This window comes from Homo sapiens, chromosome 2, assembly GCF_000001405.40.
Source record: "Homo sapiens chromosome 2, GRCh38.p14 Primary Assembly".
NCBI lineage: Eukaryota > Metazoa > Chordata > Mammalia > Primates > Hominidae > Homo > Homo sapiens.
The window spans coordinates 95,998,185-96,010,543 of NC_000002.12; the positions used below are offsets into that span (position 1 = coordinate 95,998,185).

The window sequence follows — 12,359 nt, forward strand, 5'->3', positions numbered from 1 at the left end:
ACAGGTCCTGGTGTGTGATGTTCCCCATCCTGTGTCCAAGTGTTCTCATTGTTCAATTCCCACCTATGAGTGAGAACATGCAGTGTTTGGTTTTCTGCCCTTGCAATAGTTTACTCAGAATGATGGTTTCCAGCTTCATCCATGTCCCTACAAAGGACATGAACTCATCCTTTTTTATGGCTGCATAGTATTCCACAGTGTATATTTGCCATATTTTTTTAATCCAGTCTATCATTAATGGACATTTAGGTTGGTTCCAAGTCTTTGCTATTGTGAATAGTGCCACAATAAACATACGTATGCATGTGTCCTTATAGCAGCATGATTTATAATCCTTTGGGTATATACCCAGTAATGGGATCACTGGGTCACATGGTATTTCTAGTTCTAGATCCTTGAGGAATTGCCACACTGTCTTCCACAATGGGTGAACTAGTATACGGTCCCACCAACAGTGTAAAAGTGTTGCTATTTCTCCATATCCTCTCCAGCACCTGTTGTTTCCTGACTTTTTTAATGATTGCCATTCTAACTGGTGTGAGATGGTATCTCATTGTGGTTTTGATTTGCATTTCTCTGATGGCCAGTGATGATGAGCATTTTTTCATGTGTCTGTTGGCTGCATAAATGTCTTCTTTTGGGAAGTGTCTGTTCATATCCTTTGCCCGCTTTTTGGTGGGGTTGTTTGATTTTTTCTTGTAAATTTGTTTGAGTTCATTGTAGATTCTGGATATTAGCCCTTTGTCAGATGAGTAAGTTGCAAAAATTTTCTCTCATTCTGTAGGTTGCCTGTTCACTCTGATGGTAGTTTCTTTTGCTGTGCAGAAGCTCTTTAGTTTAATTAGATCTCATTTGTCAATTTTGGCTTTTGTTGCCATTGCTTTTGGTGTTTTAGTCATGAAGTCCTTGCCCATGCCTATGTCCTGAATGGTATTGCCTAGGTTTTCTTCTAGGGTTTTTATGGTTTTAGGTCTGACATTTAAATCTTTAATCCATCTTGAATTAATTTTTGTATAAGGTGTAAGGAAGGGATCCAGTTTCAGCTTTCTACATATGGCTAGCCAGTTTTCCCAGCACCATTTATTAAATAGGGAATCCTTTCCCCATTTCCTGTTTTTGTCGGGTTTGTCAAAGATCAGATGGTTTTAGATGTGTGATATTATTTCTGAGGGCTCTGTTCTGTTCCATTGGTCTATATCTCTGTTTTGGTACCAGTACTATGGTGTTTTGGTTACTGTAACCTTGTAGTATACTTTGAAGTCAGGTAGTGTGACACTTCCAGCTTTGTTCTTTTGGCCTAGGATTGTCTTGGCAATGCAGGCTCTTTTTTGGTTCCATATGAACTTTAGAGTAGTTTTTTCGAATTCTGTGAAGAAAGTCATTGGTAGCTTGATGGGGATGGCATTGAATCTATAAATTACCTTGGGTAGTATGGCCATTTTCATGATATTGATTCTTCCTATGCACGAGCATGGAATGTTCTTCCATTTGTTTGTGTCCTTTTTCATTTCATTGAGCAGTGGTTTGTATTCTCCTTGAAGAGGTCCTTCACATCCCTTGTAAGTTGGATTCCTAGGTATTTTATCCTCTTTGAAGCAATTGTGAATGGGAGCTCACTCATGATTTGGCTGTTATTGGTGTATAGGAATGCTTGTGGTTTTTGCACATTGATTTTGTATCCTGAAACTTTGCTGAAGTTGCTTATCAGCTTAAGGAGATTTTGGGCTGAGACGATGGGGTTTTCTAAATATAAAATCATGTCATCTGCAAACAGGTTAATTCCTATAAACCAAGCTGACCTAATAGCCATCTATTTGGCTATTTAAGGTTAAATATTGTTTAACCTTAAATATGACATTTAAGGTTAATATTGTTATGTGTGAATTTGATCCTGTCATTGTCATAATGTTAAGTGGTTATTTTGCTCATTAATTGATGCAGTTTCTTCCTAGCATCGATGGTCTTTACAATTTGGCATGGTTTTGCAGTGGCTGGTACCGGTTGTTCCTTTCCATGTTTAGTGCTTCCTTCAGGAGCTCTTGTAAGGCCGGCCGGGTGATGACAAAATCTCTCAGCATTTTCTTTTCTGTAAGGGATTTTATTTCTCCTTCACTTATGAAGGTTAGTTTGGCTGGATATGAAATTCTGGGTTGAAAATTCTTTTCTTTAAGAATGTTGAATATTGGCCCCCACTCTCTTCTGGCTTGTAGAGTTTCTGCTGAGAGATCTGCTGTTAGTCTGATGGGCTTCCCTTTGTGGGTAACCCGAACTTTCTCTCTGGCTGCCCTTAACATTTTTTCCTTCATTTCAACTTTTGGTGAATCTCCAAGACAATTATGTGTCTTGGAGTTGCTCTTCTCAAGAGTATCTTTGCGGTGTTCTCTGTATTCCTGAATTTGAATGTTGGCCTGCCTTGCTAGGTTGGGGAAGTTCTCCTGGATAATATCCTGAAGAGTGTTTTCCAACTTGGTTCCATTCTCTCCGTCACTTTCAGGTACACCAATCACATGTAGATTTGGTCTTTTCACATAGTCCCATATTTCTTGGAGGCTTTGTTCGTTTCTTTTTACTCTTTTTCTCTAAACTTCTCGCTTCATTTCATTCATTTGATTTTCAATCACTGATACCCTTTCTTCCACTTGATTGAATCGGCTACTGAAGCTTGTGCATGCATCATGTAGTTCTCATGCCATGGTTTTCAGCTCCATAGGGTCATTTAAGGTCTTCTCTACATTGCTTATTCTAGTTAGCCATTTGTCTAATCTTTTTTCAAGGGTTTTAGCTTCTTTGTGATGGGTTTGAACATCCTCCTTTAGCTCAGAGAAGTTGGTTTTTTTGTTTGTTTGTTTGTTTGTTTGTTTGAGAGGGAATCTCTGTCACTCAGGCTGGAGTGCAGTGGCACGATCTCAGCTCACTGCAAGCTCCACCTCCCGGGTTCTGGCCATTCTCCTGCCTCGGCCTCCCAAGTAGCTGGGACTACAGGCACCCGCCACCATGCCCAGCTAATTTTTTGTATTTTTAGTAGAGACAGGGTTTCACCATCTTAGCCAGGATTGTCTCGATCTCCTGACCTTGTGATCCACCTGCTTTGGCCTCCCAAAGTGCTGGTATTACAGGCATGAGCCACCACACCCAGTGGAGAAGTTTGTTATTATTGATCATCTGAAGCCTTCTTCTCTCAACTCCTCAAATTTATTCTCCATCCAGCTTTGTTCCATTGCTGGCGAGGAGCTGCGTTCCTTTGGAGAAGAGGTGCTCCGATTTTTAGAATTTTCAGCTTTCTGCTCTGGTTTCTCCCCATCTTTGTGGTTTTATCTACCTTTGGTCTTTGATGATGGTGACGTACAAATGGGGTTTTGGTGTGGATGTCCTTTCTGTTTGTTAGCTTTCCTACTAACAGTCAGGACCCTCAGCTGCAGGTCTGTTGGAGTTTGCTGGAGGTCCACTCCAGACTCTGTTTGCCTGGGTATCACCAGCGGAGGCTACAGGACAGCAAATATTGCAGATCGGCAAATGTTGCTGCCTGGTCCTTCCTCTGGAAGCTTCATCTCAGAGGGGCACCCGGCTGTATGAGGTGTCAGTTGGCCCCTACTGGGAGGTGCCTCCCGGTTAGGCTACTTGGGGGTCAGGGACCCACATGAGGAGGCAGTCTGTTCATTCTCAGATCTCAAACTCCGTGCTGGGAGAACCACTACTCTCTTCAAAGCTGTTAGACAGGGACGTTTTCACATGTGAAGGTTTATTATTACATCAGTAAACTGCATGTCATGGGAGTTTGGTGTACCGGCCATTTTGTTCCACAAGTAATAAGCAGAGTACTCAATAGGTAGTTTTTCAATCCTCATCCTCCTCCCAACCTCCACCCTTAAGTAGGCCCCGGATGTCTGATGTTCCCTTCTATGTGTCCATGTATACTCAGTGTTTAGCTCCCACTTATAAGTGAGAACATTCATTATTTGGTTTTCTGTTCCTGTGTTAATTCATTTAGGATGATGGCCTCCAGCTCTATCCATGTTGCTGCAAAGGACATTGATTGCATTCCTTTTTATGGCTCTGTGGTATTCCATAGTGTATATATAGTCTATCATTGATGGGCATCTAGTTTGATTCCATGTCTTTGCTATTTGTGAATTGTGCTGCGATGAACATAGGCCTGTATGCGTCTTTATGGTAGAATGCCTTATATCTCTTTGGGTATACACTCAGGAATGGAATTGCTGGGTTGAATGGTAGTTTTGTTTTAAGTTCTTTGATAAATCTCCAGACTACTTTTCACAGTGGCTGAACTAATTTATGTTCTGACCAGCAGTGTATAAGCATTCTCTTTTCTCCACAACCTCTCCAGCATCTGTTATTTTTTTACTTTTTATAATAGCCATTCTGACTGGTGTGAGATGGTATCTCATTGTGGTTTTGATATTGAGTACTTTTTCATATGTTTGTTGGCTGTGCAGATGTCTTTTGAGAAGTGTCTGTTCATGTCCTTTGCCATTTTTAGTGGGGTTGTTTTTTCCTTGTTGATTTAAGTTCCTTATAGATTCTAGATATTAGACTTTTGTTAGATGCATAGGTTGTAAACATTTGCTTTCACTCTATAGGTTGTGTGTTTACCCTGTTGATAGTTTTTTTGCTTTGGAAAATCTCTGTCTTAGTTGGTGTATTTAGACCACTGGCATTCAAAATGATTATTGACATAGTTAGAGTAATATCTACCATATCTGTTATTGTTTTTCTATTTGTTGCCTTGTTATTTGTTCCTATATTTTTGTCTTCCACTCTTTTTTTGCCTTTTGTGATTTTAATTCCACATTTTATATGACCAAAAAATAATTACATTGTCAACATATTTCTGCTATGGTCTCAATATGTTCCCTTGAAATTTAATCACCAATATAAGAAGTGAGGCCCTTGGGAGATGATTAAGTCATAAGGGTGGAGCCCTCATTACTGGATTAGTGCTGTAATAAAATAGGTGAGAGGGGGCTATTCACCTTTTCCACCACACAAGGACACAGCAAGAAGGTACCATCTTGGAAGCAGAGAGTGAGCCCTTATCAGACACCAAATCTGCTCTTGCCTTGATCTTGGACTTCCCAGCCTCCAGAACTATGAAAAATAAATTTCTCATATTTATAAATTATGCAGTCTAAATTATTTTGTTATAGCAGCCCAAGTGGAGGAAGGCAATTTCTTTTAAAAAAAAATACTTTTCTTCTTATTTTTTTCACTTCTTTTAGTGTTTTCCTTAGATTTGCAATGTACATCTACAACTAATGCAAATCCATTTTCAAATAGCATACACTACTTCATGGGTTGTACCAAGTACCTTATAATAACAAAATAATACCAATTCCTGCCTCCTATCTCTTATATCACTATGTCATTCATTTCATTTATACATAAGCATATGTATTTATACATAAGTATATATGTTTCTGTGGATATATATACACATATATGAATACATAATTGAATACATTCTTGCTATTATTATTTTGAACAAACTGTTATCTGTTAGATCAATTTGGAATAAAAAATAAGTTACTATTTTATCTTATCTTCACTCATTCCTTCTTCAGTGCTCTCTGTCTTTATATAGATCCAAGTTTCTGACTTGTATGTTTTTCTTTCCCTTGGAAGAACTTCTTTCAGTATTTCTTACAAGGCACATGTACTACAATAAGTTCCCTCAATTTTTGTTTGTGTGAGAAGTCTGTATTTCTTCTTCAGTTTTGAGGAATAATTTTACAGGGTACAGAATTCCAGGTTGTTTATTTTTTTCTCTCAAGATGTTAAATATTTCACTTCACACTCTTCTTGTTTGCATGGTTTCTGAGGAGAAGGCAGATGTTATCCTTATCTTTGCTCCCTATAGGTAAGGTGGCTTTTTCCTCTGGCTTCTTTCAATAGTTTTTGTTTGTTTGTTTCTTGGTTTGTTTGGAACAGAGTCTCGCTTTTTCACCACGCTGCAGTGCAGTGGTGCAATGTCAGCTCACTGCAACCTTGCAACCTTCACCTCCTGGGTTCAAGCGATTCTCCTGTCTCAGCCTCCCAAGTAGCTGGGATTACAGGCGCCCACCATTACATCCAGCTAATTTTTGTGTTTTTGGTAGTGATGAGGTTTTGCCATGTTGGCCAGGCTGGCTCGAACTCCTGACCTCAAGTGATACACCCACCTTGACCTCTGATCAACCTGCCTTGGCCTCCAGTAGTGTTTTATTTATCTTTGATTTCTAGTTTGAATATGCTATACCTGGGTGGAATTTTTTGTCATTTATTCTTGTTGGTGTTCACAGAGCTTCCTGGATCTATGGTTTGGTGCCTGATATTAATTTGGTGAAAATCTCTGTCATTATTCTTTATTTATTTATTTATTTAAAAGGTGGGGTCTCGCTGTGTTGGTCAGGCTGGAGTGCAGTGGCCTTTCACAGGTGTGGTCAGCAAGGGAATTTTGACCTGCACCATTTCTGACCTGGGCCAGTTCTCCCCTCCTTAGGCAACCTGGTGTTCCCCCATTCCCTGGAGGTCACCATACTAATGCCAAACTTAGTGCAGACACCCAATCGGCATAGTGCACTACAGCCCAGAACTCCTGTACAGACTCAAGCAATCCTCCTGCCTCAGCCTCCCAAGTACCTGGGACTACAGGTGTGTGCCACCACATCTATTTATTTTTTGAGACAGGGTCTCACTCTGTCACCCAGGCTGGAGTGCAGTGGTGCAATCATGGCTCACTGCAGATTTGACCTCCCGGGCTTACATGATCCTTTCACCTCACCCCACTGAGTAGATGGGACCAGAGGTGTGCACCATGCACCCCTAATTTTTTAATTTTCTTGTAGAGATGGGGTCTCCCTATGTTGCTCAAGCTATTATTGTTTTAAATATTTTTTGTTTCTTTCTCTTCTCTTTGTTTCTCTTCTCTTTCTTGCATCCCCATTATGTGTATGTTATTTTTTTCATAGTTGTCGCACAGTTCTTGAATAGTCTGTTTCACTTTTTCAGTCTCTTTGTTCTTTGCTTTTCTGTCCTGGAAGTTTCTATTGATATATCCTCAAGCTTAGAGATTCTCTCTTCAGCCATGTCCATTACACTCATGGGCCTATCAAAGGTATTTTTCATCACTAGGACAGTGTTTCTCATCTCTAGCTTTTCTTTTTATTCTTTCTTAGGATTTCCATCTCTCTGCTTCGCGGGTTCTTGCATGCTGTCTACTTTATTCATTAGAGCCCTTAGTATATTAGTTATAGTTGTTTTAAATTCCCAGTCTGATAAATCTAACACTCCTGCCATATCTGAGTCTGGGTCTGATGCTTGCTCTTTTTCTTCAAACTTTGTGTTTTGCCTTTTAGTATGACTTGTAATTTTTTTCTTGACATCAGACATGAGGTACTGGGTAAGAGGAACTGCAGTTAGTAGGCCCTATAGTAATGTCGTAGTAAGGTGGCAAAGGACAGAAAAGTGATCACAGTCCTATGATTAGGTCTCAGCCTTTTAGTGATCCTCTGTCTCTGAAATGTTAACTTCACAAGTGCTTCTTGGTTTTCCCCCTTTGGATGGAACAGGACAGTTAGAGCTCTGTATACACCTAAAAAGCATAAGCAAATATTGAACTTTAGCCAATGTGTGCATGTTGAAATGTTTGAGGGGGGCAGGGAAAGTGTACTGATGTCTATAACTTACTTTGAAAGTCATCAAAAGACAAGATGGATTGATAGACAGGTGGAAGGATAGATGTACATGTGATAAGGAAACTATAGTAAAACATAAATTGTAAGGTCTAGGTGGTGAGTATACAGGTTTTCATTGTACTTTTTTTCCAACTTTTTTGTATGTTTGAAAATTTCATAATACAATGTTCAAAAAATAAGCCCAACAGCCTAAGGAGATAGGTCAGAGTCAGTAGGATGAAATTTAATGTCAGTGAAGGGCAAGTGGTCTCTTCAGGTGTAGATGCTCTTTTGCTTAGGTGAAGAATGAGGAAGTCATTTTCTGTCAGCTCTTCATATACATAAGGAATGGGTTGCACTCAAGGTAATTATCATGTTCTTCTGTAAGAGATGCTGAACTCATAGATGTTTCCGTAATCTCTGGACAAGGAATTGGGCATGCTATCCTACTCCAGGCCATTCACATCCTCTTAAGGTGAGATATCCCACTTTCTAAGAGACTTTGGCAAATGAGTCATATCAGTCAGGATGGGCTGAGTTTTGCTGCAATAACAAAAGACTCCCAAATCTCAGTGTCATCTCCCTCATATTCCACATCCGATGTGAGTTGGCTGTGGCTCGATCCATGTCGTTTTTACTCTGGGACACAAGCTGACAGAGTGGTTCTTATTTAGAGCATTCTATCTAGTAGCAGAGGGAAAAGAGACATGGCAAACACAGGCAGGCTTTTACAGAAGCCTTGTAAGGGGTCTATGATGCTCCTGCCCACATAGCATCGGCCAAAACAAGTCTGATGGCCAGGCCTTAGTTCAGCTAGATGTGAACACCCCATCCTCCAGCAGGAGGAGGCACAGCTGGTGATGACCAACGGTGACTGAATCTACCCCAAGGAGATTATCAGAATGATGTGAGGTCTAAGAAAGGTGAGGGAAGTAGGGGAGAGGTGGCAGAGGAATGACATGCTGGTTTTATTCAAACATTTTAGAAAATGCAAGACAAGATGTGCTCTGCACAGCTCCAGGGGCAAGCTGAAGACATTTCTACCAGCTAGGAGTCACAGGCTTCAGGTTGTCACAGGAAGCACATTCTGACAGGAAGGACTACCCAGCATTAGGGAACACCGAGGGCACGTTGTTACCTGGGCTGCTCCATGCGCCCAGGACAGTGATGACACTTGAAGACAGAGTTGCCTTCCATTCTCCCCCTCCCCATAAAATACTGGGCCCAGCCGCCCACACAGCAGTGACCTCCCTATCCCTGAAAAAATGTAAGCAGAGCCTGGGTGCTCCTGGACAGAGGGCTGTGGATGGAGCCCCTGCATCGCAGGGTGAGGCCAGACCACAGCAAGCCAGAGGAGGGTGTGTCTAACCCAGGGTACACGTAGGACAGATAACTTGGCAGGGATGCTGTGCTCCTTCTTGCTAACATGTGCCCCTCTCAAGCTGCCAGGAAAAAAAAAAAATCACATAATGAGGTTGCTAAGATCTACAGAAAGAATGAATCTTCTATCCATGAAATTGTGAAGAATGAAAAAGAAATTTGTGCCAGTTTTGCTGTCACACCTCAAAATGCAAAACTTATGGCTACAGTGTGTGAGAAGCGCTTAGTTAGGGTAGAAAAAGCATTAGATTTGTGAGTGGAAGATGTCAACAGAAACGTATTCTGATTGACAGCAACCGTGTAGCACCAGATTAACTTCATCTGGATTAAATTTGTTCACTGGCATCTATGTATAGGAAAAGACGTGGCAGATGTAGGGTTTGGTACTATCTGCAGTTTCAGGCATCTGCTAGGGGTCTTTGAAGATATCCCTCAAGGACACTCCATATAAATGAAATCATCCAATATGTACTCATTTTTAATCTACCCTTTTTCACTCCAAATAATTATCTTGATATATTTCTATGTTGTATCAATAATTTGTCCCTTTTTATTGCTGAGTAGTATTCCCTAGTGTGGCTATACACAGAGTGTTTACACATTCACCTGTTAATGGAAAATTGGGTGGTTTCCAGTTTGGGGATTTTACAAAAAGCCTGCTGTGAACACTTCTGAATACATCTTTGCATGAGCATATTTTTCTTATTTCTCATGTAATTACTATCAAACAAAAATATAAATCTGGATTCCATAAAAAGAGAATTTATTCAAAAGGATTGTTGTGGGGGTTGGGGGGGGACTATTACAATAAGGAGACAGTCTGACGATGTGATCCTCAAGTGTCTCAGAGGTTAGGCAAAGGGCTGACCTTGTATAGGGAGGCGTAAACATGGCTAGAAAGAACTGTTATGGGAAAGTGAGCTGAGCAAGAGTGTCACGATCGAGCAGGTCTTACCCTGCAGACAGCCTGTTCTCAGGAGGGACCCTCAGGAAGGCGGTGGGTTGGCACAAGCTGCGGGTGGGCCAAAGGTCAGGGGCTTGGAGAAGGAGAGAATCTGAACCAAGGTTTGGTTACAGGCATTTTGTTCTTATTGATCTGTGGGGACAAGCAGTCCAGCTAATCATTTATGATGTCAAGAATGGGAATTTAGAGGGTCTGTGTATGGTCTGGTCAGGAGGAGACATTCAGGATTCTTATTCAAGCTATATGGAAAGCCACTGGTTCTTTCCAGTAGGGTGTTTTCTGGAACAAAGGAGTGGAAGGATTCCTTAACCTTCACTATTTCTAGGAGCAAAGGGCTAAGGTACAACTCAATACTGTCAATAGTTAGGATTGAAATGGCTAGGTCATATGGTAGGAGTATGTTTAACTCTTCATACACTGCCAAATGATTTTCAATTGTAGTGATACTATTTTATAATCCCATAAGCAGCGTACAAGAATCCCAGGTCCTCCACATTCTTGTGAATACTTGGTATAATCAGTCTTCTTTGTCCATTCTAGTAGGTGTGAGACGGTGTCACATTGTGCTTGCAATTTGCATATCCTTAATGATTAATGATGTTGAGCATCTTTTCATGTCTTAATTTTCTGTCTGTATATCTTATTTGGTGAAGTGTCTGTTCAAATATTTTGTCCATTTAAAAAATTGAATTGTTTGATTTTATCTATTGATTTTAAGTGCTCTTTCTATATTCTGGATACAAGTCTTTTATCAAATATAGCCTCTGAAGATCTTTTCTTTCAGGCTGTAACTTAGCTTTTCAGAAAGTCTTTGGGAGCTATGGCTTAATGAAACACCTGTGCCAGGTTCTCCTCAGCACATCCCCCTGATCACAGCCACCCCCATAGGCTCTTTTTTTTTTTTTTTTTTTTTTTGAGACGGAGTCTTGCTCTGTCCCCCAGTGGTGTGATCCGGGCTCACTGCAAGCTCCGCCTCCCGGGTTCAGGTCATTCTCCTGCCTCAGCCTCCCGAATAGCTGGGACTACAGGCGCCCGCCAACATGCCCGGCTAATTTTTTGTATTTTTAGTGGAGACGGCGTTTCATAATGTTGGCCAGGATGGTCTCGATCTCCTGACCTCGTGATCCGCCCGCCTTGGCCTCCCAAAGTGCTGGGATTACAGGTGTGAGCCACTGCACCCGGCCATAGGTTCCATTTCTATATCGGTGGTGACCTTCTGTAAGCTAGACTGAAGTCCCAAGCTCCAGACCCACGTCTCCAGCTGCCCACTGTTCAATGCCCTTTGGATGTCCCATGCAAATTGGAGCTCACTGTCATCTCCCCAGACCCGCTGCTCCTCCAGAAGCCCTGTCTCCATGATCAGCCCTGCACCTACCAGGCTAGAGACCCAGGAGTCGGCCTTGTACCTGCTTCCTTCTCACTTCCACCTCCTGTCATCCAGAGCTGTCAGTTCTTCCTCCTGAACATCTATGAACACTCACCTTCTCCGCCAAGCACCGCACCATCATTGTTCTCACCCGCACCACCCACCCAGATACCTTTCCTTAGACAGGTGGCCAGAGAAAAACTTCTCAAATAGAAGTCGGGCCATGGCACGCCACTGAGGACCTTCCAGCGGTCTCCTGTGCACTTAAACAAGGTCCAGACTCCTTCGTGGGACAAGTAAAGCTCTTGATGATCTGGTCCTTGAGTAATGTGGGGGCCTCTTGCCCAGAGCCCCTCATACTCTTCAAAGCCGGCAGCCGAAGAGCTGAGCAGTAGCTGTCTGTGGAGTTCAGCCTCCGCTCCCTGCACGCCTGCCCTCTGCAGGGGATGGAGCACCGTTTCCCCACTTCCCCACCTGCGCCCAGCAGTGCAGGTGAAGGCCTGGCTGCTGGGAGTGGCTGGGAAACGCTGAGCTTTGGGGTCAGGAATGCCAGCTCCACTACTCACCGCCTGTGTCACCCTGGGAAAACAGCTCTGGCCCCAGGTTCTCCATAAGTAAAACAGGGTCACTCATCCCTCCCCTCCTCAACGACATATGTCAGAATCAGAAGCCACAAATCATTCTCTCCCACCCAGCACGCTGCCTTGGTCTCCTAGACCACTTTCCCCAACAATGGGAAAGGCGCCAGGCCCAGAACAGGGCCGAGACCGGATGAGGCCAGCGAAGCGCCCAGGGACAAACTTTCAGGCAGCGCCCACTCTCGGTCTCGGGCAATTGCAGGGTCCCTCCGAGAGCGACCGTCTCCAGAAAACGCGGCCGGCGCCTGCCTATGCCCTGAGCCTGAAGAGCCCCCGGCGCCGCCCGCCCCGCACTGGGCCCGCCCCTCCGGGATTGGTGCCCTGCTAGGGGTGGTTGCCTG

At 42.7% G+C, this 12,359-nt stretch overlaps 1 pseudogene, besides 3 other annotated features; it reads right to left on the minus strand.

Annotated features, from left to right (window-relative positions):
• Positions 6,379-6,666, minus strand: RN7SL210P (RNA, 7SL, cytoplasmic 210, pseudogene; annotated as a pseudogene).
• Positions 11,447-12,278: an enhancer, noted in NCBI's record as "H3K4me1 hESC enhancer chr2:96675379-96676210 (GRCh37/hg19 assembly coordinates)". NCBI's record gives its function as "activates a minimal SCP1, AML or CMV promoter by ChIP-STARR-seq in primed H9 embryonic stem cells {active_cell/tissue: H9 hESC(primed)}" and the evidence as "EXISTENCE:reporter gene assay evidence [ECO:0000049][PMID:30033119]".
• Positions 11,447-12,308: a biological region, named in NCBI's record as "H3K4me1 hESC enhancer GRCh37_chr2:96675379-96676210".
• Positions 12,229-12,308: a silencer, noted in NCBI's record as "silent region_11746". NCBI's record gives its function as "represses an Ori minimal core promoter by ATAC-STARR-seq in GM12878 lymphoblastoid cells {active_cell/tissue: GM12878}" and the evidence as "EXISTENCE:reporter gene assay evidence [ECO:0000049][PMID:35858748]".